This window comes from Homo sapiens, chromosome 1, assembly GCF_000001405.40.
Source record: "Homo sapiens chromosome 1, GRCh38.p14 Primary Assembly".
In the NCBI taxonomy this organism is placed as follows: domain Eukaryota; kingdom Metazoa; phylum Chordata; class Mammalia; order Primates; family Hominidae; genus Homo; species Homo sapiens.
This window is the reverse complement of record NC_000001.11, coordinates 13,890,626-13,917,826: the sequence shown is the minus strand read 5'-3', so window position 1 is coordinate 13,917,826 and position 27,201 is coordinate 13,890,626. Positions and strand designations below refer to the sequence as shown.

Here is a 27,201-nt window from a genome sequence, read left to right as displayed (position 1 = left end):
TCTTTCCTTTTTTTTTTTTTTTTTTTTTTGATGACACAGGTCTTTCTCTGTCACCAGGCTGGAGTGCTGTCGTGTAAACACAGCTCACTGTAGCCTCAACCTTCTGGGCCCCAGTGATCCTCCTGCCTCAGCCTCCCACGTAGCTGGGACCACAGCTGCATCACTACACCCAGCTAATTTTTAAAAAATTTTTTATATAAATGATGTCTCACCATGTTATCCAGGCTGGTCTTGAACTCCTGGGCTCAAGTGATCCTCCCAACTCCGCCTCCCAAAATGCTGGGATTACAGGTGTGAGACACCACACCCAGCCGTATTTAGTATAATTCTTAAGGGCCCTAAGATTTTCAAAATGGTAAATGAGCATTGGCTTCAATTTAAAATCACCAGCTGCATTGGCCACTCACCAGAGTCAGCCTGTCCTTTGAAACTTGGAAGCCAAGCATCAACTTTTCCTCTCTAGCTATGTAAGTCCTAAATGGCATCTTCTTCCAATAGAAAGCTGTTTCATCTCCATTGAAAATCTATTGTGTAGGGTAGCCACCTTCATCAACGACCTTAGCTTGATATTCTGGATAACTTGCTGCAGCTTCTCCATCAACACTTGCTGCTTCACCTTGAACTTTTATGTTATAGAAATGGCTTCTTTCCTCTAACGTATGGTAGGAGCTACTTTACATTAAACAAATGAAATTTGTATTACACACATGGGCGTGCATGCATGCACGTGTGCACACACACACACACAAACACATACTTCAAGGGGAATGGAAGCCTGGCTATCTTGGCATACAGAGAATTCTTCTAATCGAATCAAATAGAAATCAAGACTAGTTCCTCCTTTGTTCAAAATCCTTCCATGGTTACCCAGGGAGCATGCCAGCCTCCTCCACATGTGTACAAAGTCTTGTGAGTTGCAGCCCTGCCTCTTCCTCTCTCCTCTCCCCCATTCTCCCCGAGCCCACTCACCTCAACCATGAGGCCCCATTCTGCTCCCCCAGCAAGGCCACATTGCCTCCAGCCACAGGAGGCTTCCTGTGCCTAGAAGGCCTTTCAGTGGCTCCCCAGGTGGATCTTCCTCGCCTGCAGATCTCAGTTCAGCCATCAGTTCAGGAAGGAAGGGTCTCTTGAACTCCCCCTGCAGTTCAGCTATCCTGATTACAGCTCTGCCACCCCTTCACAACATGCTCTGTGTTGTAATTTTACATACATTTGTATGATTTGGTGAATGTCTAATTCTCTCTGCTATTTTCTGAGCAGCAAGAGCACAGGGACCCCGTCCTGGCCACTTCTAAATGTGTAGCACCTGGCACGTAGGGATGCTGAATGGGTAGGGAAAATGAACATTAATAGAGCAGTCTTTGAGCACCTACCATCCATACTAAGCAGTATCAGAAATACCAGGCAGGCTAAGACACAGCCCCTCTCTCCTGATGCTTAGAGTCCCAGCAGGGGTCTCGGACACAGACTCATGAGACAATCAGAAAATAAGAAACAGAACATAATCAGAGGTGACTCCTGCTGCATGCCATCCCTTCCTCTTTCAGGCGAATGTCATTCTTTCTTTTCTCTGGGGAGATATCCCTCACCCTTCATATGCGGCTGGTGTGGGATTTTCCATCCAGGGTCCCAACTCTCCCATCAGGGTAGGTGAGCCCATGACTGCACCTCACCCAAGAGGACCCTCACTCCTGGAAAACCACATCTGGCCTGCAGGATGCAAGCACCAAAGGCATCTGGGGCTGATCATCCTGCTGGTGAAAGCTCAAAGACCTTACTGGTTAGGGCTTGGTCTGAACCCCCACTCCCCGGCCCCCAACCCCTGCCACAGCTTCCACCAATGCTTCCCTAACACCAGTCTTTTTCAAAGCCTGGATCTTCACCTCTCCTATTTTCTGAAATCTCCCTAATGCCATCTGAATTGTTTTCCATCTAGAATTAGTTTATGTGGCTCACAACCAAAGAATCCTAATCAAAGCAAGGAGTGAGCACTGAAATGTATCACAGACTATGCAGAAGGTGTTCAGAGATAAGGAAGGTGGAACGAGGTGGAGCTGAGTCCAGGCTCAAGCCCCTCTCTCTCTCTCTAGTGCTAAAAAGCGAATAGCAAGGTCTTTGGCCTCATGACCTGGGTCCTCTCTCATGCTTCCTCCTTCATCTGGAATGGTCACCAGATAGGAGATGTTCCAACCTAGGGTGGGAGCAGAGGGCAACTGGGCGCTGAGGTGGAAGGAGAAACCTTGGTGCACACAGCCCCAGGGCTGGTGGTGGACAGAGAAGGAGGAGGAAATTGGCATGGAGAGGGCAGGACTCCTCTTCATCTGCCAGGGCCATATTATGACGTTCATGGGCCCCAAAGTGCCCAAGCATTTTTGCTATTGCGGGTCCTCCATAAAATATATTATAAATTATACTTACAACTATGTTGGTATAAAGACAAATATATTAATGTTATAGACTAAAACATTTTTGTCAGCTTCAAAGTGCATTTTTTTCTTCTTTGAAAAGAAATTAAAACAATTTTATGAGTTCCTAAAAGTCCCGTGGTCCCCAGGCAGTGTGTCATCCACCCAAAGGGTTGCTAAGATTTTTTTGGTTTCGCCATAAGAAAACCCTCCCTGCTGGGGAAAGGCAGATCGTATACATGTGTGCCTGTGTTTGTGTCTGTGTGCATGTGTATACACATCTGCACATATATACAACTGCACGTATACACATGCATGTGTGTACATTTACACACACATGTGATTTCTGTATGTTTTCTATTACTGTGTAACAAATCACCACTAACTTAGCAGCTCAAAGGAAACACTATCTATTGTCTCCATTCCGAGGGTCATGGATCCAGGCACAGTATAATTGGGTCCCCTGCTCAGGGTCTCAGGCTGCAATAGAGGTGTCAGCTGGGATGTATTCTCATCTGGAGGTTCTAAGAAAGAATTTGCTTCCAAGCTCACTCAGACTGTGGGCAAGACTTATTTCCTTGCAGCTGTCTCACTGAGGTTCCCATTGCAGCCACCTGCCATTCAAGTTCACTCTGGGCTCCTGGAGCTTCCCTCAGGCCCAAGTGATCCTCCCAATTTGGCCTTCCAAAGTGCTGGGATTACAGGTGTGAGCCACTCCACCCAGCCATATTTAGCATAATTCTTAAGGGCTCTAAGGTTTTGCCACCGGGCCCTCTCACAGTGTGGCTTCTTGCTTTTTCAAAGCCAGCAGGAAAATCTCTCCATGGTCAGCTAAGAAGGAGTAATGGAATACCCTGTACTCACAGGAGGGACATCACCGCTATATAAGGGCCGTATAACATAACCTAATCGAGGCGGTGACATCCCATTACAGGCACAGACCCCACCCACCAGGATGCTGCCTGTGCAGGAGCTTTAGCAAATATCAGTAGCTCTATTAGCTCGCGTCTGAGCCAGGTACTGTTCTGTGCAATTCATACAAGTTTTAACACTGTGAGGTCAACAATAATATTATCCCCATGTTACAGTTGAGGAAATTGATGCTCAGGGGGCTAAATGAACTGCCAGGCTCACATAGCATCCCTAGTTCAGAGTGATGTGCCTGAGGCACGGCAGGAGGGCAATAGTGAGATTTCTAGGCATGAGTAGCTTTCCTTGTCGTTTTTAGCAAAACCAGGTGCCACCAGATTGGTAATCAAATTTAGTACCCTGACTATTCCTACTGGGATTTGGTTCTCCATCCCTATGAGCTTGAAATTCCTTCAGCGCGTCTTTAGTTGTTGCAAATCCTAGCACATTGGTTCTCGAGCCTCAGCCAGGCCAGAATGCGCTGAAACTCGGATTACCGGGCCTCACCCCCAGAGTCTCTGATTGAGCAGGTCTTGGGTGAGGCCTGAGAATCTGCCTTTCTAACAAGTTCCCAGGTGATGCTGGTCCAAGGATCCCAGTTCAAGAACCACTGCACTAGTTTAATGATTCTCAAACCACCTGAAGCAGGAACTCTGGTGATCCTTGTTGAATAAACAGGCCTGCAGTGAGACCCAGTAATCAGAATTTCTGGGGCGGGGCTGAGAGCCTGTGTTTTAAACAAGCTTCCAAGTAATTATGAAACACTGAAGTTAGAAAACCACTTCAAAAAGGATCACCCCCTCCAAGGTTTCTTGTTTGGCCTAAATGAATTGGAAAAGTTTAAGAAATCCTAGCTGAAAGCAGGGCCATGCAATAACATGGCTTTATCTCCCCTGAGGCCAGAAGAGAACCAGATTTGCAAATCTGTAAGAATTGCCTTGCTGGAGAAGAAGGAGCCCTTGGGAAGAATGGAGCTGCACAATCAGTCCCTGACCTTACAGGGCCCCAAACTCTCCCACCATCCAGCCAAGCCCTTTCATGTTGGCAGAGGCAGCTCTGGGGAGCAGCCGCTGACCATCTCTAGCTCCACCACAGGCCTAGAAGCCTGAGATTCCTACCCCAAAATACCAAATCCACAGTGCAAAGTATCTGGAAAGATCCACTGCAAGACCCACCACCTCCCACAAGTCTCCTCTGCTTGACCAGATAGAGGCCACACAGAACGTTCTGCTAGTTTATACCAAAACAATTCCTCTAGTTTCTCTCTAACTTGCTGAAATCCTCTACTTCTTCCTGATGTCTGTCTATCTGAGCTGGCAAGGGCTAGGCTTCTGTCTCTCCTGTATGCCCTAGAACACCTTGTCTTGGGGGAAACCAGTAGATGCTTAGTAAGTGTCTCTTGCAGTTCAATATTAACATTAGGAGAGGGTCCAGTGACCCCAACCCCAGCCCCATGATCCAGCAAGATGATAAAGGAGAGTTCCAATTTCATCTAAGCCAATCTTCTTAGGGGCCATGCAGGATGCAGCTCCTGGTCCCCGCCCAGGTTTTCCTTTGGTTTATTTATGCTACACAGCCAGCAGGTAAATCTTGCATGAACTATAGAGTTTGCATTAGGGCCAGGCACAGTGGCTCATGCCTGTAATCCCAGCACTTTGGGAGGCCAAGGTAGGTAGATCACCTGAGGTCAGGAGTTCGAGACCAGCCTAGCCAACATAGTGAAACCTCAGCTCTGCAAAAAATTAGCCAGGTGTGGTGCTGCACCCCTGTAATCCCAGCTACTGGGGAGGCTGAGGTGGGAGAATCGCTTGAACCTGGGAGGCAGAGGCTGCAGTGAGCCAAGATTGTGCCACTGCATTCCAGCTTGGGCAACAGAGTGAGACCCTGTCTCAAAAAAAAGAATTGCATTAGGTAGGATTTCATTTTTACAGATATAGAAACTCAGTCAACACTTTATCAATTTTATCATCTGATCTACTTTTTAAATGGGTGTCAACATGAGCTGTTGCCCTGGTCTCAGCCTCTTCCTTTAGACCTTGAAGGAAGAGAAGCCCAGCCCTGGACCTGGGAGTTGAGTGGACTGGAGTATCTTCAATGGCACTTATTGATCCCATCAAGCAGCACACGGTTTCATGTGGCCTTTTATCTGAAGTGTGTGCCCACAAGTAGATTGGACAAATCACCAACTCAGCAGAGGCCAGATAAAGCAGTTTCAGTAAGGAACTGCCGCGGACTCATTAGGCACAGGAGGAAAGACGGGGGTTCTCTTCTGACCTGAACACTCTACGGTGCTCACCAATAATAAGATTTGACCTGTGTGCTGGGTAAAGGGGGTGCCCAGGGCAGCCCAGTGCTCGGCTGGGAAGCTGCCTTTGATCGTGAGCACTGGTCTTTGTGTTACTCCAAGCACATGGTCCTCTAGCATTTTCCATGCATTTTAATATAACCTTCATAGTGCCTACATTAGAGGCTTGCCATCTCCACTTCACATAAAAAGCCGTGGTTCAGAGAGATTTAAAACAATAGTAATGGGGAAAAAGAAACTTGTCCAAAATAACACATCAATAAATAGCCAAGCACAGCCAGAATGCAAATCTGACACCAAACCCACATCCTTCACTTCTTAGAACCACCTAGAAGGGACTTCTGGGGGCCCAAACCCAACCCCAACTTCCAGCAGATAACTGTCCTTATCAATCACAACTTCCCTTTCTGCCAAGCTGCATCATGCCTTATAACATTTTTTATTTAAGGACTAAGGATTTAATACATTAAATGATATTATACAGCAAACTCAAAATGCTTCTGTCTGGCCTCCCAGGTGATGTATGTTGTGAGGCAGGTTTCAAAATGAAAATTTTCAAAGTGGGACAATTTATATAGACCTCAAAGGACGTGATGTCTTCCTTCAGCATCAGAAAACAGGAGAATCTCATTTCTTCTGACTCAACCATGATGGATTATAATAGTTTCTCCTGATATCGTTTGGATACTTGTCCTCACCCAAATCTCATGCTGAATTGTGATTCCCCAGTGCTGAAGGTGGGGCCTGGTAAGAGGTGTTTGGGTCATGGGGACAAATTCCTCATGGCTTGGTGCTGACTTCAGGATCCCGAAAGTGAGTGGGTTCTCCAAGATCTGGTTGTTTATAAGTGTGTGGCACCAGCCAGGCACAGTGACTCATGACTGTAATCCCAGCACTTTGGGAGGCCGAGGCAGGTGAATTACCTGAGGTCAGGAAATCGAGACCAGCCTGGCCAACATGGTGAAACACCGTCTCTACCATAAATACAAAAATGAGACAGGCGTGGTGGTGAGCACCTGTAACTCCAGTTGCTTGGGAGGCTGAGGCAGAAGAATTGCTTGAACCCGGGAGGTGGAGGTTGCAGTGAGCTGAGATGGCACCATTGCACTCCAGCCTGGGTGACAGAGCGAGACTCCATCTCAAAAACAAAATGAAACAAAACAAAAGTGTGTGCCATTTCCTCCATCTCTCTCTTGTTCCTGTCTTCCCCATGTCATGCACCTCCTTCCCCTTTGTCTTCCATCATGATTGGAAGCTTTCTGGGACTTCCCAGAAACAGAAGACGCCATGCTTCCTGTACAGCCTACAGAATTGTGAGCCAATAAAACCCCTTTTCTTTATAAATTACCCAGTCTCAGGTATTTCTTTATAGCAGTGCAAGAACAGCCGAACACACCTACATATCTCTTCTTATTATGGGAAAGCACCTGGAAATTGGGTGGGAGTTAGGCCCTATATTAGTCTGTTCTCACATTACTATAAAAAAGAAAAAACCTGGGAATGGGTAATTTATAAAGAAAAGGAGTTTAATTGGCTACGGTTCTGTAGGCTGTACAGGAAGCATGATGCTAGCATCCGCTCTGCTTCTGGGGAAGCCTCAGGAAACTTGCAATTGGGGCAGAAGGCAAATGGGGAGCCAGGAACTTTATATGGTGAAGCAGGAGCAAGGTGGGGGAGGTGTCACACACACTTTTTTTTTTTTAGACAGAGTCTCACTCTGTTGCCAGGCTGGAGTGCGGTGGTATGATCTCAGCTCACTGCAACCTCCGACTCCCTGGTTCAGACGATTCTCCTGCCTCAACCTCCTGGGTAGCTGGGATTACAGGCATGCACCACCACACCCAGCTAATTTTTTGTATTTTTAGTAGAGATGAGGTTTCACCATGTTGGCCAGGATGGTCTCGATCTCCTGACCTCGTGATCCACTCACCTCAGCCTCCCAAAGTGCTGGGATTACAGGCGTCAGCCACCACACCCAGCCTGTGTCACATACTTTTAAACAATCAGATCTCATGAGAACTCACTATCGCCGCAGCAGCATCAAGGAGGATAGTGTTAAACCATAAGAACTTGCCTTTATGATCCAATCACCTCCCCCCAGGCCACACTTCCAACATTGCGGGTTACCATTCAACATGAGATTTGGATGGGGACACAGATCTAAACCATACCAGACCCCACTGAAAGTATCCAGTCCAAATGCCAGCTATTGGGAGTGGCATCTGGGCCCTTCCTAATCAGCCTTCTCCACTCAGGAGTGAGATTGACCACCATCATCTGGGTTTAAACGAGGCCTCCATGAGCCTCAACATTTGAAGCGGATTCCCTGAAGCCAGCCAAGAAGAGGGGCTAGAGCTGCCTCTGGTCTCCCTTCTACATTTCCACCGCTACAGATTACCCACCTTATTCTCAGGGTTCAACTCAGACCAAATCTTTCCATAAGGCTAGCAGAAGGAGGACTCTGCCCTCATAAATGCTTAATTCGTCTTGCTACATTTTTAAACCAGGCCTTCATCATAAGAAGCAGCCAAGAAAGAAAGGTCTTATTTTATTTTATCCTAAATAAGACCAAGCTTATTAATAAATAAGCCCAAATCAATATTCAGTATTGATTTGCAATTCTCTGAAGAAAATGTGGGTGTAGGAACAGGTGGGTGGCAAAGCAGGGTGCAAGAAGACCATTTTGTGGGGGAAACCCTGGCTGAGATAGAACATATCCAGGCAGATTCCCCCTTATTCACAACCTCCCCCACCTTCCAATGCTAGACGGGAGCTCTCCTCCTCACTACCTAAGAGAGAGAAATCAATACCTCCCTCCTCACCCTCTTGCCCCTGAAAAAACACAGCCTTTCGTAGGTTTACAGACTTTTTCTTTTATTGTCAGGCATCCCAGGAAGGAGAAAGACTCACACTGTCTTATCTCCTAATTGAAATCACCCCCGATGTTATCTGAACTCTGAGCTTGCAGATACATTGTTGCTATTGTTGGTACTTAAGAACCAGTGAAATTAACTGGTGTGTCCACCAATCCCATAATTCAAGGCTGGACACTAAGATTATCAATAACCTTGTACTTCCATAAGAAATGTTTATACCTAAATGCCCCCTGCCAATGCCCATCTTCTCCTCTTGTAGGGATAAGAAAGCACCTACCGACTTTCCCTGACTTGGTGGACTTCACCCACCTGCGTGTACCAAGAAGCGAGGAGAAGAGGCAAACCTGCGAGCTCTGCTGCTTTGCGAAAACAAAAGGCAGCCCAAGGAGTAGCCTCGTACTTACTCTCTTTGGTCTCATAAAACATGTGTTTATTTTATGTTCTCCAGCTCACGAAAGTCCTTAACAGCTCTGCCATGATGCTACTTGGGGTGAACACAGGTCTTGTCACCGTGGATTTCTGCACACACAACAATTTTTGCAGCTCAGCATCCTAGCTCGGGCCTGTTCCACCACTTGAGAAGTTTATGACCCTTGAAAGGGAAGTACAGGCCCCACCATGCTTTAGTTTACCAAGGGACAAGATAATGGCAAAGGGTTCTTCTGCAATGCCCAGTTCGTTTATCAGTGATCAATGCCTTCCCAAGAAAAGCTATAAAGTCTCTGCTGGCTGCCATCTGGCTTCGACACGGCTCCAAGTTTCCGTTTCCAACTGCCAGTGTCCACAAAGGAACTTTTGTTTAAACTGGGGACAACCAGGGTGGTACCACCTGACAAACTGGATTTTTAATGAACACTTAGGACCCAGGGGAATTAGCTATTTAGGCTGGAGCTTTCTTGACCAAAGAGCCGTCAAGGCCAAAGAGCCAAGCTTCAGCCTATAGCAATAGCTTTGTGCAAGAAGGCGTGGACTGCTTTGAAACCCCCTAGCTTTCTCATGACCTCTCTCATTACCCTCAAAGGCAAGTGGCTGGTCCTTCATGCTAGAGCAGGCAAGAGAGTCTTTCTAAACCACAAGACAATGTGTTGATGCTGCCTGTTTCTCATGGGCAGTCCAGCTTTCTGAATAACCCCAGCTACAGGCTTTCTGATGTAACTAAAAATAAACCACGTCTTCAGTATGAAACAAAGTCCAGGAATTCTGTTTCAAGTAGAAAAATGGACTGCCACAATGTGGCTGGCACTTTCTTTAAATTATTAAGTTCCTGCAGGCCAGCTGACAGCAAATGTTCTCTTTGCCTTGTCATCTATTCCATCTCCTGCTACCACTGCTAATCATATTATAAATTTGTGCACCAGTATTGCTGTCTTCAGACCCCAATAATTCTCAGAGAATCAGCTCTTGTTTAGGACAAGCACATTCTCTTTTTCTCTACGAACTACACAGTCTTATAACCTCACCCAACAGGGGCACAAGAAGTATCATCCAAGCCAAAAAAAATGTTGCGGTGGGAGAAGTTACTCCCAAACCCATCCAAAAATGTCTCATGGGGAGACTGAGCTTTCATGAGAAGCCAGTCTGAAGGTTGCCAGACTAATTCAGCCTTATGTTTCCCAGAAAATATTTTGAAACTGGGTACACATAGCATACATTTGGGTTGTTTGTGGAAGGGCTATTGGACCAGGAGATAACATCAGTGGCTCCAGGGACTGGGTTACCTTTAGAATTTCCTCCTGGATAAGAGAGCTTGGACCTGAGAGTAACAGAGACCAGATAATGCCAGCCTAGTTCATTCCAAGACCCCCCATTCCCACCCACCCAACACACACACACACAGCCTCATACACACCCCTCAAAGGCCTTGCCTTAAATCCTGTCACTCATTCTGCCAGGCCTGGGCCCATACCCCGGGGCTGGGGTCTTCTCTACCACTTCCTGCTATTAAACTGAATTTAGGTCCTAGCTCCCACCCTGCCAAGCATCCTGGCACAGTCCCCAGGGGCCACTCCACCTCACTATAGGGAGACATTCGCCAACTGATCCCTAATACTGGCTTGAGAGGCACAAAATGTGTTTCCAGCCTTCAGTGGGACTCTAGTCCTGGAGGGGGTGCCCTGTGGTGCTGGAAGATTCTATTGCATGGTGGAGATACCTTCTCAGGGGAAATCCAGCTGCAAAAACACTTTTCATCAAGGTTTTAGCCATTCACATTAACTGAAGACAGAGACACCACATCAAAAGAGGCAGGAACAAAAATCACCCACATAGATATTTCTTTTCTCTGAGCTAATAGAACAAGAAGCCCACCATAACCACTCCACGCATTACCTGGAGACACTGGGTATTTCACTTTGCAATGGCCTTTGCACAGGCGGGAAGCCTTACTTCCCGAAGAATCCCAACAAGCATGACACAGTCTCTTGGTCTGTTTGCCTGACTGTCGCTAGGAATGAAGATGTGCCCCAGAATGGAATTTTCAGGAATGCATTCGTCTCTCTCCCATGGTGGCATCTGCAGCATAGCATGCTGTGTAATAATGGTCATTTCTGGTCCTGGCCCTGCTCTGGTTTTGGCCACACCCAGTTGGCACAGAGTGAGTCCCTGAGACAGTCCCAGGTGAATGTCTTGTCCAGTGTCTGAGGCAAAGGGGATAATAAGAAACAGACTTAAGGTCAGTTCTGGCTGTCAGAATGGAAGACATTAAAGGTCAAAGGAGAGCAGTAAACCAAGGTCGATCACACATATATGGAAGCCAAGAGACAAAGTTAGGCCAGAAGAACGGGAAGAGGCAGACTGGAAACCTGGGCCGGTCCAGCCCAGGCAGCAGCATCTTCTCAGCAGTAGTACAGCCTTTCTGCCCCACAGGGTTTTAGAAGCATCATTTCCTCACACCTATAAGCACCTACGCCTCAACATCTCCAACTCCTGCCTCTCCGAAAACGAAGCCCGCCCCCAGGAGGCTCTGTATTTCTCTCTCCAGCCTGGAGGTTGTTTGCTCTATTTCTTTTTCAGGGAGTTAGTATGGTAGACTCAGGGGAAAGTCTATAAAACATTTGAAAATACAATAGGCATCCTTAGAAATACAAAACTGAACTCTTAAAGTAACAGAAATGTACTGTAGTGGGCTGAAAATGCCCCCTGCAAAAGACATTTACATCCTAATCCCTGGAACTTGTAAATGTTATGTTATTTGGGACAAGGGTCTCTTTTTTCAAATGATGTGATTGAAGCTAAGAATCTAGTAATGGGGAGATTATCCTGGATTATCCGAGTGGGCTCTAATTGCCATCACAAGCGTCCTTAGAAGAGAGAGTCAGAGGGAGATCACATACACAGATGAGAAGGAGGAGCTGGGTAACCATGGAGAGAGATTGGCGCTCCCAGAAGGAACTCAGGTCTTTTGAGACCTTGATTTCAGTCCAGAGATACTGATTTTGGATTTCTGGCCTGCGGAACAATGAGATAATATGTTTCTGTCGTTTTAAGTCACCGAGGTTGTGGTAATTTGTTATAATGGCTATAGGAAATTAATACATCCACAAAACAAACTAACAAAAAAAAATTACAAAACTGAAAACCAGAGTGATAGCACACACTAAGATTTTGGCTGTTCGGAGGCAATTGCTTATCTTGTAAAATGAATGCTAGAGTTTTATTAGCCACATGGGATAGATGGCAAGGTTTTAGGTTATGCTGGGATAGAGGAATTAGAACTACAATACTTTCCACACACATATTCACACACCAGCTATCTTAGAGGGCTCGACATCAGGGAAGATGAGACTTGGATGTGGGTCCTGAACACAGGCACGGGGAGGTAAGAAAGCTTGTCTGCCTCAGTCTGAGTCCTGGATTGAGAGGGGTTGAGAGTGATCTCCCTTAATACCTCATTACTTCAAGCTTACCCTCATATGAGTTGGGGTTCAAATTTATACTACCAGGGAATGTATGGAAATATCCAGCCTGGAAATTAACATTACCTACGGTAATAACATCTCACAGATAAAATTCCTAGAATAAGCTCAAAATCCAATCTTGCAAAGTGCATGAGGTAATAAGCTATCTTAGACATGAGTCAACAGAAAAGCAGAAGAAATGTACTCAGGAGTGCCAGAATTGGATTATAAAATTCCTTTATCAGATAAGTATTAATTTTAAATGATTAAATAAATAAAACATATGATCAAGAGCAAGAGAGACAAAGATTATCTTAAAAAATAATACCTGGGAGATTTGAAAACTATTCAATGAGAACTTCTAGAGGTTAAAAAAAGACATTCAATGAAAAATGAATTGCCTGAGTTCAGCTGAAGATTAGACACAGCTAGAAAGAAAATTAATGAACCAGAAGATAGTTTTTAAAGTCATTATCCAGAATGCAACAGAGAGACAAAGATGGAAAATATGAAAAAGAGTTCAAATTGAGAAGTCTAACACAAGTCACAAAGGAATTTCTAAAGGAGGGATAGAAAGAATGGGAATCAGTGTTCAAAGAAATAAGTAACTGAACATGAGTTACATGATTTGCATCTGAGATGCAAATCCTCAGATCTGAGAAGCACAAACCCCAGATAGGATAAATAAAATTAGACCTACCCCTAGCTACACTGTAGTGAAACTACAGAGCTTCCAGGACAAAGACTTTCAAAGCAAATCCATAGAAAAGAGAGATCACCTACAGAGAAATGACCCCAAAATCAAAGACCAACAGCAACAGCAGGAACCAGAAACAGAGGAACATCCTTTCCAAAATGTTGAGAGAAAATAACTCAACTTAGAAATCTATATCCAGCTGACATTATCCAGTAACAGTAGCCAAAATAAAACTAAACATTCTAGAGACCCAGCTGTGGAGGCTTTGCTGTAGCTTGTCCTGGCCTCCAGTGCAGATTGGTCTTGATCATGGATGATCATCTCAGCTGTGACTGGCCTGATCCCTACAACCCAACTTCTCCAACCTGGGAGTTCTCCCAGCAATACTTTCTGCTTAACAGGCCACAGGGTGTTGCCTATTAATGGAAGGGAGGAGGCATGAGGGGTTCCCTTCCTGAGATACTATTCCTTTTCACCTGTCTTAGAAGTGGCTATTTCCTCTGTGCTGAGGAAGGTGCATGCTGGCCTCCAGCATCCCAGGGCACCTCCTCGCCCGGCCTTCTGCCCCTCCATCCTCTGCTCCCTTGCCCTAGTCCTTCTTTGGATCCCTCTACCCAGCCTTTCAGACAACTGCTCCATGTTAAGCACTGATGACATTGTAGACCCTGCCTCAGTCTCCAAATAGACCTTTCCACATTTCCTGACACATTTCTGAGTCTACCATGTCTCTGTGCGGAGTGGTTCATGCCTCTCTAGAGCTCGCATCCCTTCCTGGAGACCTGTTGCTTCTGGTGCTCCTGACTGGGGCTGCAGTCACCCAGGGACTCAGAGGGACCCACCACATACATTCCTTTTCAGATTCACTTCTCACCATGGAATCAAGGTCAAAACTTCTGTCTTTTCAAGTAGCTAAGAGCACCACCCTCTTAGAGCTGCTCAAAATCTCTTTAAGTCTCTCCCCAGCAGTGGCCGTCTTCCTCCTGCCCATCACTCCTCTAATTCCCTAGCCTGGCAGAGATGAAAACATCCTCCTCCCTTTTTCCCTTTACTCCTGTCCCCAGACCAGTTCTTTCTTTAAGTGACCTAACTCGTCTTCACTATATGTAACTGGTAATGGCTTTGGGGAGATCAAAGAGAAGACTTCAAGTTTCAGGAAGTCCAGCCAAGTGGAATCTAGCCTGGCCACTCAGCCGCCATCATGACATTGTCTTTGTCCTTCGATGGGAGTCCCCCACTGGCTCTCCTTCCCTTTGGGGTCCGAGGCTGAGTCTCCCTCCTAGCCACACTGGCACTAGACCCTGTAGATGACAACAAAAGGTAAATGCAGGCACTAAAGAGGATGCTTGATATAAAGGGCCGACAAAAACGCAGTTACTTTTCAGATGAAAGTCCAGACTCCATGTCTGTTTCATCTAGCTCATTCCTTACATACTTAGAAAACAGATGTGATCTGAATTGGTCAAGGAACTAATGTCCAAAAGAAAAATGTGGTCCAAGACCATAAAACCACAAGTGGGTTCTTCATCAAGGTCTGAACATCATCGCCCAGAGAGATGGGTGGCTGGGAATGCCAGTACATCATTAGTATATAATTTTATATTTTCAAAGCATTTTACAGCAAGACTTTTATAATCTTCCCTACTCCAAACATCACATTGTCAGTGTTAAGACTTCAAATAATCCCTGATGCTTTGGGGTTTCCCACTGACCCATGTGGAAACCCACCTCATTTGCTTCTTGCCTTGTGGTTCCCATCACGGGCTGAGCCTTACTCACCCATGGCCATATCATGGGGACCATCATGGAGGTTTTGTTAAACCTACAGCCATTACATTTTATTCAGGAAGAATGGGAGGGAAAGCTTGTCTGTTTAAGAGCTTTTTCCTCAATTTATTTACTTATGTATTTTGATTGATACATAATAGTTCATATTTTGAGGGTGCATGTGATATTTCATTACATTCATATAATGTGTAATGATCAAATCAGGGTAATAGGGAGAAATATTCATCATCTCAAACATTTTTCTTTATGCCAGGAACATTCCCATTCTTCTCCTCTAGGTATTTTGAAATACGCAATTAATTACAGTCACCCTCCAGAGCTATCAAACACTAGATCGTATTCCTTCTACCTACCTGTATTTTTGCACCCATTCATCAGCCTCTTTTTATTCCCCCTCTTCCCTGTCTCCCTTCCTGCCTCTGGTAGCCGCCAGGGTTTGGGAACACAAGTGATAAAAATCAACTCTTAAAGTTGTTTGGAAGCTGGTTTAGATATCCACATCAGGCCTAATGAAAACAGCCTGCATGAAGTTAAGCCGGCTGACTACACATGTCCAAGAATGAGACCAACTCTAAATGCTAAGTATATACCCCCTACACCCTGGGGAAGACAAAGCACCTTCACGGTCCCACTCCTTATGGACTTTTGGTATCATGGAAGCCAGTTTCAAAGGAGGAAACCCTCCGGTCATTTAATCCCAGCACTTTCAGAAGAAAGAACCAAGGGTAAAGAAGGATCGCCAAGTTATTCTCCCACAAATGGGCCATTTTTCTTCTTTCTCAAAAACAGCCCCCATTATCTCACCAAATCCAGAGACATCCCTCTTGCCTTGTGGTGCCACCATCAAGGGCAGAGAGCCAGCTCTGTGGCTGACCACCCCGGGGCTGCCTGGGGCCGTGTGTATCAGTAATTCGGCTAAGGCCTTCCCTTTCTGCACTGGATAATCTCGGGTCCAAAACTGAAATGCCTCAGAGCCTTGAGGCTATGTGTTTCTTATCCACATCCCCTGCCAGGCCTTCAGGAACCCATGACCAAGGAAAGGGAGCAAACATCAGTAGCACAAGTAAAGCACCTTTATCACAATCCTAGTGCATACTTCATCGTACAACAAGCTAGGCAAGGATGCAAGAAGCTGACAGCTGGAGAGACACATGTGTTCACACGTGGCAGAACTCAGATGCCTGTCAAACAGTGGATATCTCACACACAAGGTTGAAACAAGAGCAAAAGGTTAAGAGTATCGCTGATGCCGGTAGCAGCTTTTAAGCTGGCATGGGAAGCCTGCTAGCCAGAACTGAACGCTTAAGCCAGAGCTTGTAACCTGGTGGCCCACTGGCAGGACGCAGCTGGAGAGTTTGGCCTCTGGAATTTCAAACCTTTCATTGGTAATACACATCCACAAATTGGAGGGCTTAATAGGAACATTGGGACTCCAGGTTTCTCTTGGAAAACATGATCTGGCAACACTGGAAATCCTAATAGAATCTCTGAGAAGTGGCACCCAGCTCACCTGACCTGTCCGGCCCCTTGTTTCAGACCAAATATCCGCTTCTTCCCGTGACTGTCTTTTTAACCTTAAACTGCTTCCTCCGGGATCAGATGATCCACATTTTGTTTAAGTAATATTGGAATTTTATTTACTCAGCTGCCTCTTATTAAGGGTGACCGTATGATTTAACATGCAAACAAAGACATGCTTGAGAATGAACGTTGATACTGTTAATTATACCAGCAAGAGACACACAAACCCCAGGCAAACTCGGTCCAATGAGGGCCCTTCTTTAAACATCCTTTTGTGATTGGAGGGGACGGGGGGTGGCTGTTTTTATAACCGGTCGGTTCTTGGCCTTGGGAATCAAGAAAAGAAAAAATGTTGAGGTTTTCTTTTTTTGTTTTTTGTTTTTTTTTTTTCAATGATTAGCCAAGGAAAACAAGTAGCAACTTTTTTACTTGTCAGGAAGACATGACCAGAAGGAATGTTTTAATCCTAGTGTTATTAAACTTCCTCTCATTAAACAAAATACAGCAATTGCACTAATAACAAATAGTAATAGTTACAGCAAATGTTGATCTACTATAGCATTCTGTGTCAGGCACTGTGAAAAACATTTTACACATAATGACTCATTGTCAGACTCATCACAACCCTATGAAGTAGTAAACTATTATTCTCCTTGTGCAAATGAGAAAAATGTGGCACAGAGAGGTTAAGGTACTTGCCCAAGGTCACACAGCTAGTGAACGGCAGAAGTGGAATTTGAACCCAAGCCATGGAGCTCTTAAGTCCATACTAAAAATCACATGCCCCTGCCTCTGACAAATAGGTCTCTGGAGAAATAAGACTACTTCTGATGTAGTGATGTGGGAGGCCCGTGCTGCTCACAAGCTGAGACCACTGTGTACGCTGCTTACTCCAAGGCTATGAGGACCCCACTTCACCCTGTTGCTTTTTCCTCAAGAAAATAAGCAACTTGTAGGAACTTCTTGAGGTCAAGCAGTGGTCCAAGGGGCATCATCGACAGTAAGTGCTTGCACCACCAGCTGCATGAGTCCCAAGGAGATCACCAGGGGCTGGTAGGGGATACTTTACCTTGGGGCTGAGGGTGAGGGATTGGGCAGGGAGGGGCTGCTGGAGGAAAGGAATGAAATCCTGACTCCCACCTCTTTGTCCATTGTGCCTCACATGTGTCTCTTTCCCTTTAAGGCCTGGAGTTCAGAGTACTCAGTCTGATCAGCCCAAGGGACTATTGGAATAAGTTGTTTTCCCCACTGACCTGGAATCCAGGTCGAGGCAAACTTGAGGACTATCAAGAAGAATTAGTCTTGAGAAAGAGAATGAACATAACCGCAATTTTGCTTTGCCAGATTCCACTAACACCATTTCATCATGCTAGCAGCTACTCATAAGGATGACAGCCGCCCCATAAAATGACTAATGATATGGTCTAAAACAGATGCGTCAATATCTTACTGATGAAAGCTGCTACATTGTCAGCACCATATAAGGCACAGAGGGTCCAAAGACAACCAAGATAGGCCGGGCACACTTTGGGAGGCCGAGGCAGGCAGATCACCTGAGGTCAGGAGTTCGAGACCAGACTGACCAACATGGTGAAACCCCATCTCTACTAAAAATACAAAAATTAGCTGGGCATGGTGGCACAAACCTGTAATCCCAGCTACTCAGGAGGCTGAGGCACAAGAATCACTTGAACCCAGGAGGCGGAGGTTGCAGTGAGCTGAGATCGCACCACTGCACTCCAGCCTGGGCGACAGTGCGAGACTCCACCTCAAAAAAAAAAAAAAAAAGGACAACCAAGATAACAGTTGTTGACCTCAGGAAGCTTAGAGTCTAACACAGAAGACATCAATGAACAGAAATCACAACCCAACATAACATGTTATGAGGAGTGACTGTCACCCCAGTGTTAACAGATTCCACATTCATTCAACAAACAGTCATTTGCTGGCACAGATGTTCAGCAACATTTCTGGAGATTAATTTCTGGAGGACAGTCTGGAAGGAAGAACAGGAATAAATAGGGACTTCAGATCCAGATGGCTTGAATTTGAATCCTGGCCCAACTACTAACTAGTTAAGAGAAATATTTCTCTTTACGGGCCTCGAGTTTTCTCATCTATAAAATGGGGATGATTTCACTTGCCTTCTGAGGATGCAACAAGGTGAAACAAGGTAATATGTAAAGAATGTAGCACAATAACCATCCCAGAATAAGTACCCAATAAGTGCCACCTATGGTTGTGCCCAATTGCCAGCAGTTCGCCATGGCGAATCTTTTTCTGGAATGTCAGAACACACTGTTTCCACTGGAGAAACAGCCAGGCAAGAAACAGGTCCTACACACCACCCCTCAGGGATATACAAGGAAACCTTAAAGCTGTGCTCCCATTCCCATGGACGGAATGACAGGAAGTGTGTGCTTGCTTCTTTGCTCATCTTCGTCTGTTTAACTTTTGCAAAAGTCCCCAATGTGCACAGCTCACCACAGATGCCATAAATGTTAGTTCCCTTGCCCTCTTAGTTATAAATTTGGCAATTGGCTTCCAAATGTAGCTAGGCTCCATATTCAGAAGGACCCCTATATTGTTTAAAAGGCAGGGAAAGGGGTTCAGCTGGCAGCCTTCAGAAGGAGCATGATAATAGGTACCAGTCTGACAGGTGAGAGAGACAGACAGACAGGCATGGCTTGCACATGTCTGAGTTTCTGCATGGTGTGGTGCAGGGGACCAATCCCTCACTAATCATGCAAACAAGGAGCCTTGCAGGTGGCATCAGAGCTGCAGCCCAGGAACAGTGCCAAGCAGCAGCAGTCCAGGTGCTGAAGTCCTGTCACCTTCCTGTCCTCATCTCCCTTCCACCCTCCACGAGCTGGGCCTGGATTCATGCAGCGTCAGCAGGACATATTAGATAAAATGACTTTAGTTGTTTGGGTCAAGCAAGGTAACTGCAGAAATGCTTTCTGCCCACATGAAACGGGTTGGAAATCAACTTCCGTAACACACGCGCAACTTAGCAAGTCAGAACTTGGCACAATAGATGAAGTCCCCACCAGCTATGGTCTGCAAGCTGGGGGTCACCCAACCAATAGACTGCCAGGCCAGGGGATGGGGCAACAGCCCTCTGCAGAGACGCAGCCAAATGCCAGGTCAGGGGGTAGAGGGTGTCCAGTTAAACATTTTGGGAACCCAGGAGAATATAGACAAGGGAACTTGTCCAGCTGCACTGAGACCACAAGAATACCAGCTCGAGTCTGTACTGCCTATCCCCTCGGAGGTCCCCCCAACATCCTCAGATGTTGGACACAGCTGAACCCCTGTATGTTTCTGAATATTACGATATCAGCAGATACCCTGCCTGGGAGTGTGGCCTTAAGCTCCCACCTGAAGGAGGTCAGGCAGCACGAATGGACAGCGGCAGCCTCCATTGGTCATGCCTGCCTGGCCAGACCAACTTCTCACCTACCATTTTGGGCTATAGCAGGGGCAAAGTCAAGTAAAAGAAATTTGGGTGGGGGGTTAGAAATAGAAGAGGATGAACTTCCTCACAGGACTATTAAGTGAGATGAAGGACCTGGAGAGGGAGGAAGGTGGGCAACAGCATCAAAGCCACTGCAAGATCCAAAATGCTGCTCTCTCCTCCAAATCCTTGAGCGAGACAAGACACATTTTTTAAAACCCTTTGCAGAAGCTGTGGAATTGCCTTTTTTGAGCACAGCCTTTGGGGTTGGGCTGCCTGAAGTTTAAATCTCAACTCTGCCAACATGGAAATCTCACTGGTTAACTAGGGAATGCTCCATCCACCCTGCAGGGTGGCATGAAAATGAGGCAGATGTGAGTTTGTCTAGCACAGGTGCTATAGATTTGGGCACATGCTGAGAACTCTGTTCTTGCCAGGACTTTCAGATCTATTCTAAAAGCTTCCTGAAGCAACCCCTACATACATGTATGAGCCTGAGAGTGTGGCCTCGTGTGTGGATGGTGGAAGAGAACATGAGAAAACCACAGCACCATGTAGCATCAAGGGTACCAGCAAATAAGCATCTTTCAGAGCCACACTCTCAGGCTTGATCCCTTTCACATTGTGCCACATAAATTCTGTCTAACCCCATTCTGTGCTTCCTATGCTGGTCTAGGGGAGGGGTCAGCAAAGTTTTTGTTTTTTCTGCAAGGAGCCAGATAATAAGTATTATTGGCTTTATGGTTCGCATGGTTTCACTCATGACTACTTGACTCTGCCACTGTAGCACAAAAGCAGCCGCAGACAAAATGTACATAAATGGGCATGGCTGTGTGCCAATAAAACTTTATTTACAAAAGCAAGTAGTGGGCCAGATTTGGCCCCAGGGATGTAGCTTGCCAACCTTTGGTTTGAAGCTCACACAGCCAGCAACAGCCAAACTGGGACTAAATGAGAAAGAACCACATGCTCTTCCCATGGCCCCACCAGACCTTCATGCTCCCACTACTGCTAATTGGGTCAAAGCTTTTATTGGTCTCATCTGTGCCCAATTTTGCCCTGCCTCCAAGAAACCTATCTCTGCTGCCCCACTAAATCCTAGGCGCCCTTTAGTGCTCAGCCCCCTCCCATTCCCACCTCTTTAAGCATCCTTACCGCTCCATTTCTGGAAATCAACTTTTTCTCCTAAGACATGAGATACTTACAGATATAAAAGATTAGCCCCAGTTGTCACCAGGGACTATGCAATTTAGAGGTTAAAGGCAAAGGCCTGAGCATCAGACCAAGGCTTTCCTTCCCAAATGGTGTGAAGGTGGGCATGCGGGCAACCCCTGTGTATTTCCTTTGCCTATGGAAATTGGGTAGGATTTTTAAAAATTACAGGAGCCTGGCATGGTTGCTCACTCCTATAATCCCAGTATCTGGGGAGGCTGAGACAGAAGGATCGCTTGAGCCCAGGAGTTCAAGACCAGCCTGGGCAACATAACGAGACTTCATCTCTACAAAAAAAATTAAAAAATTAACCTGGAATGGTGGTACATGCCTGTGGTCCCAGCTACTTGAGAGACTGAGATGGGAGGATCGCTTGAGCCTAGGAGGTCAAGGCTGCAGTGAGCTATGATCATGCCACTGCACTACAGCCTGGCCCACCATTTGCTTTTGCAAATAAAGTTCTATTGGCACACAGCCATGCCCATTCGTATACACTTTGTCTGTGGCTGCTTTCATGCTACAACGGTAGAGCCAAGTAGTCATGAGCGAAAACTTGTAGACTATAAAGCCAACAATATTTATTATCTGGCTCTTTGCAAAAGAAACAAAACCTTTGTCAACCCCTGCCCTAGACCAGCATAGGTAGCAGGAGGCAGAGGTGGCAGGACCACTTGAGCCTAGGAGGTTGAGGTTGCAGTGAGCTATGATCATGCCACTGCACTGTAGCCTGGGTGACAAAGCAAGACCCTGTCTCAAAAAATAAAAAAAAAAATTATGAAAATTACAGGAGATAGTTTATGTAAAACATATAAGAAGGGTTGTTCAGGAAATGGTATCATTGAAAAGTCACATTTTGTGTAATTCTCTTTTCCTCAATATGCTTTATGTTTACACCAGCGAGACCAACATCTCCAGGAGTATGAGCCGTAACTTACTCTCCAGATCCTGTGGTTCCTGGCACCGTGCACAGTACATAGTAGGTACTCGGTGAGTACGTGGGATCTGTAGCTACCTCTCACTTGGGAATATATGTGATTCACCCAGCTGTAAACCCCTAGAGTCTGCGAATCATTTTCACATACACTTAAGATCTCGTTTGTGATACCTGCTGGACTGTAAATGGCTGGCTGGAGACGTATCAGTGTTGGTCTCCATCCCTTTCGCGTCCTAATTGAGTGAGCTCTTTTGACTTAAGGTTAATGATTCCTCTTTGCGTTTCTTCAGGGAGAGTGTTCTCCCTGGAGACTGCTGGTCATTATTATTCCATGTTGCATTGCTCTCTTGACATAAAGGATGTTTTTTTAAAAAAGAGGCAGAGGATTTCATGGCCTGATTTAGGCCTGGGTGCTTCTAAAAGAAAGTGAATGAAGCCGCAGGGGAGGTACTTTAGAAATCCGACGTGCCTTCCCACAGGATCCTCAGAGAAGTAGAAAGGCAAGGCAAGGGAACCTCAGTCCAGGAAAGCTTCTGAGCCCTCCTACCTAATCCATTCCAGATAAAATATTCCACAGATGTATGGAGTGGGAGATTTTCAACCTTCTGGACAAACCAAAATCAAGTTAGGAGTGCAGTGGGTGGCAAAGGGTGTGTGTTCAATGCTTCCATTGTCTACTACCAAAGGCAGCTATGCCCCTCCCTGCAAACAGAGATGCCTTGACTGACCCATAGAAGGATGTTTTCACATATTAACTTAATTAATCTTTGCAATGACCTTATGGAGTGCCTAGTAGCACCGTTTTACAAAAGAGGAAACTGAGGCATACAGAGGCTAAGTAACTTGCCTGAGATCACACAGTTTTTAATAAGTGAAACTGGGACCCCAACCCAGCAGTCAGCTCCAGAGCCCTCACTCACCCACTCCACGAGCTGCCTCTCTGTGCAGACACATCCAGTTTTAGAAACCAGCTCCAGTGTGTCTTCTCCACCAAGCTGTGCTCCTCTGAGCTCACCGAATCTCAGGCCTGGATGGACCCAGCAGCCCTGAATCCAGTTCTCTTGTTTTGCAGCAGGGGACGGATACCCCAGGAAGGGGGGTGCAGTCTGCAATTTCCAAGGTCATGCAACTACCCAATGAAAGCATCAACACTGACTCAGGCCCCCAGACTCCTAATACAGTGCTCGTCTCACCATCTTCCTGAGACTCACGGTCAAAATCCACAATTAACCCTATAACACCCAGGAAAACATTGGAGGAATGTGTGGTTGTTTTCCCAGTGAGAATTAACGCCAAAAAAGTCGAGAAACAGGCATCCTATTTCGTGTGTGACTCCAACCCAATCATAAGCATGTCTTAAGCACCACTTGTGAGTTTGAGCATGGTGACTATTTGCACCAAGCCATCCATCCTCACCTTTTTTTTTTTATGTGACCACATGTGCATCCTAGCAAGATGGCTAGCATGGGTTATAAGGCCCGCAGCCCATGCCAATCTTTCCCTTCTGTATAAAACGTGAGCCATTTGGAAGACAAATTCATGAGCACAGACTAATGAGGAATCCCCACAACCAAGTCAAAGCCTGGGAGAGGCTGCTCAGAGCAGACACTTATAAGCATGGAAGTTACTCCAGCAGGGGCTGGGGGGGCATAGATTAAACATAACTCTTAGGAGCAGAGAGAGGCAAGCTGACAAAGGCAACCAGGCTACGACTGGCACCTGGCCTCAAAAGATGGCCACAGCATGGCATCATCAGATCCATCCTGACGCACCCTCCTTCACCCCCCAGCTAGCCACAGAGAAAATCGATGACGAAGGACAAACAAGGCCCCTCACTCATTGCAAAAGCAGCGCGTTGTCTCATGGCAAGTCCTAAAAACTTTATCTTTTACAGTGATAAATGCCAGGCAAACATTTCACTAGCTAGTTAAGTCTTACATCCCACATTATATCAAGAAAGAGATGAGGTAGACTGACAGACACACAGACACACACAGACCGCTGTTTTTGGGGACCCGGGATAACGCTCCACTTCCCATTCTCTGGGCACATGACACACGACGCAATTCCTACCTGCTTGCATAAGTTGGCACTGCTGACCAAAGACGTGGGAGAAGGTGACGGGGCCTGTGGCAGAATTGGATGTCGCCAGCGTGGATTCCATGGCTCTTTTGGGGTCTTTGGTGTTGGTCATGTGGCAGCGTCCAGACCCTTGGAGTGTCAGAGCAAAGGATGCCGTCGCTGGCCCAGGAACTGCAGATCTGAGGCTACTTGTCACTTCCAAGAAAATGTCCCCGCCCCCAAAGTTTATAGTGTTTCTTCCTTTCGCCACCCTTTCCTTGCAGTTTTTCTCAAACACCAGTCAAGTAAAAAATGAAACCCTATAAGCCTTGGCAAATCTTGCACAGCAGCAGTTCCATGCAAAAGAAAAATCTAAGTTTCCCCCTAACCAGGAGTCGTGGCTTCTTGACCCGGAAGGGTGGCTGGAACTTGCCCCCCGGCCCGGGGCTGCTTCTCCTGGGGTCACCTGGAAGGGGCAGGGTCCCCGGGAGCAGCTCAGCCCCGGCTGTGTTCCAGCACCAGCTGCCGGCAGAGCGCTGCCCAGGCCCCGCGGCGTCTCAGTCCAGGGAGGCAGGCAGGGCGCGAGGCTGCCCCAGGGTCCCCGGGGAGCTGGCCTTGCTGGCGCCGCCCCGCTGCCTGCAGCGCCGACCCTGGGCTCCCGCGTCCCCGCGCGAGCGCCGCGGCCCCAGGTCCTGCACGCGCCAGGCGTCCGGCTGCTGCCAAAGGGAGAGCGCGGGAGGCGGGCGGCGCGGGCCGCACGGGCGCGGTGCAGCTCCGGACCCGCAGGCGTCTCCGGCTCATCCTCCACTCGGGACGCCTAGGCCCTGCCGCTCCCCACTCCTCGCGTGGCAGCAGGGAGGGACTGAGACCTGCTGCAGCGGCCCCCAGCCCGCGCCGCCACCCCGGTGCGGCGATGCAAAGGGGGCAGTTCCTGGGAGATATTCTGGATGCGGAGGGAAGTGCTAACTCAGCCCAGCAGGCTCCAGGGCTGCTGTAACCTCTTCCTGCCCACAGCCAAGGAAGTGCCAGGCACGGGAGACCCGACTGCCTGCGATAAAATCCAGAGACCAAGAAGAGAAAAGGAGAAAATGCCACACATCCCCTAGGGCGCTCCGGTGATACAGAGATCTGAGTACTTCATCTTAGCCGACCCAACCCTACTGTGTATGAAGGATCTGTCCCCTGCTCCAAACCAAAAGGGGCCGCTTCTCTGGAAAAGGAGGAGAGGGGTACTTTTTGCATGATTCCAACAGCTATTTCTGCCAGTGCTGGGTTTATTTTGCTATTCCACCTGCTAATCATGAAGATGCTAACTCCAGAGAGGCTGCATCATCTCGGGCCAGCATTTAGGGTACTTTGAGGATTCCGCTGAGACATTGGTACTGGCAATCACCTCTCTAGGCAGCAACACACGTGCAGGGAGAGAGAGGCTGTGCCACAATGAGCTCAGCTGCAGCCGTCAAAGCACCCGTGTCTGTTTCCCTCCGGAGAACTTTGATTTAGAAAAGCCATTTGCCTCTTCTGTATTTAAGCAACAGAAGATAAACTCACAACTGATCTAGGGGCCAGAAAGACTCTCAAACAGGCCTTTTTCCATTACAGCCCTTGGCCAGCAAACACATGCAGCTTAGTGATGTTTTGAGGGTTCCTTGGGATGGGTAAGACAAGGCAGAGGAGCCTTGAAGTAGTTCCAAGAGTTCAAAGGAAGTCTGACTTTGTGTTAATGCTGCTTCCAGGTAGTTTAAGTGATTGAGCATCCCTTTTCTTGTCATGCATGAGGCTCTTCTCCGTGTCATGAAACTGTAGGACACCAGGGACCATTTCTCTCTGGCAAATTGGGTCTAAGGTGGTCAAGAGCTAGGGTTAGAAGACCAGATCTCTTGATATCTGCAGAAACCCCACGCAGGAAGGGAAATAGATTGGTTTTTCAGGTCTGAGTGGAAATGGAAGTTATAATGCCTCCCAGCAATGGCCCATTAGCTGCTGTTAAAAAAAAAAAAAAAATCCAAGGTGAACATTTATATAGTAGTTTAACCTGCAGATGTCTTCTGTTTGGCAATCTATGTTTTCCTCCATTCTCTGTATACCCAGTCCATTGCTTCTCACTGCTAAATAGTGTTTCATATATTAAATGTACGATTTTACTCTATCTGCTCCCTTAGCACCTGGCAACTGACTTGCTTCCCAAGCTCTCCTCCTATAAACAGCACAGCACTGGGAGCAGTGGTTCACACCTGTAATCTCAGCACTTTGGGAGGCTGAGGCGGGTGGATCACCTGAGGTTAGGAGTTCGAAACCAGCCTGGCCAATATGGTGAAATGCCATCTCTGCTAAAAATACAAAAAAAAAAAAAAAATTAGCCGAGTGTGGTGTTGGGTGCCTGTAATCCCAGCTGCTCGGGAGGCTGAGGCAGGAGAATCGCTTGAACCTGGGAGGCGGAGGCTGCAGTGAGCTGAGATCTCGCCACTGCACTCCAGCCTGGGTGACAGAGCAAGACTCCATCTCAAAAAAAACCAAAACAAAACAAAAGAAAAAAAGCAGCACAGTGATGATGCCATCAAGCATTAAGGTCATCAAGCAATATATTGTTCAAATCAGGACACTCTGAAAGTAAGTGGAGGTGCCACTGATAACTACACCGGGATACACAGCATAAACCAGGAGGGATGGAGAGCAGCACAAGAATTTCCCTGGCTACACAACCAGGAGTAGAATTGTTCAAGGATAAATGCAAATTTGATTTCACTAAATGCTTCCAAGTACTACTCCAGAATGGCTGTGCTGGTTTACACGCCCACTAGTACTACACATGGTGCTTGTACTCCCACTCTCCCACACTTTTGCCAGTAACTGTTGTTGGCAGAAATTAGAAAGCTAGGAAATTTAACAGGTACAGTTCATTATAATTCATTGTTTTGATTTGCCTTTCCTTAATTACTAAGTCAAGTACTTCTTGAAAAGCTTACCAGCTATGGAGGCTTCCTCCTCAGGAAATTTCCTGTTCATAGTCTTTGCCCATTTTTTCAGTCATTTTACTATTTTCCAGCATTCTTGTTGATTCATCAGAGTTCATTGGTTTTGCTAGCTATTAACCTCTAATCCACCTAGATTTTACAAGTTATCTTCTCCCAGTTGGTCATCCA

At 46.6% G+C, this 27,201-nt stretch overlaps 1 protein-coding gene across 6 annotated transcripts in view, besides 1 other annotated feature; it reads right to left on the bottom strand.

Moving 5' to 3' along the window:
- The window catches only part of KAZN (kazrin, periplakin interacting protein), a 1,225,220-nt gene extending 1,200,217 nt beyond the window's left edge, over nucleotides 1–25,003 (bottom strand). For all 6 annotated transcript variants that reach the window (XM_011541074.4, XM_005245795.6, XM_011541080.4 and 3 more), the window contains exon 1: nucleotides 24,071–25,003. In XM_011541074.4, the coding sequence (XP_011539376.1) occupies nucleotides 24,071–24,191 (121 nt within the window). In that variant the 5' untranslated portion in view covers nucleotides 24,192–25,003. The remainder of the gene's footprint in view (nucleotides 1–24,070) is intronic.
- Nucleotides 4,128–4,297: an enhancer, noted in NCBI's record as "experimental_267 CRE fragment used in MPRA reporter constructs". NCBI's record gives its function as "activates a minimal promoter by MPRAs in K562 erythroleukemia cells, with activity observed for both the introgressed and non-introgressed 1:14240110 variant alleles {active_cell/tissue: K562}" and the evidence as "EXISTENCE:reporter gene assay evidence [ECO:0000049][PMID:34662402]".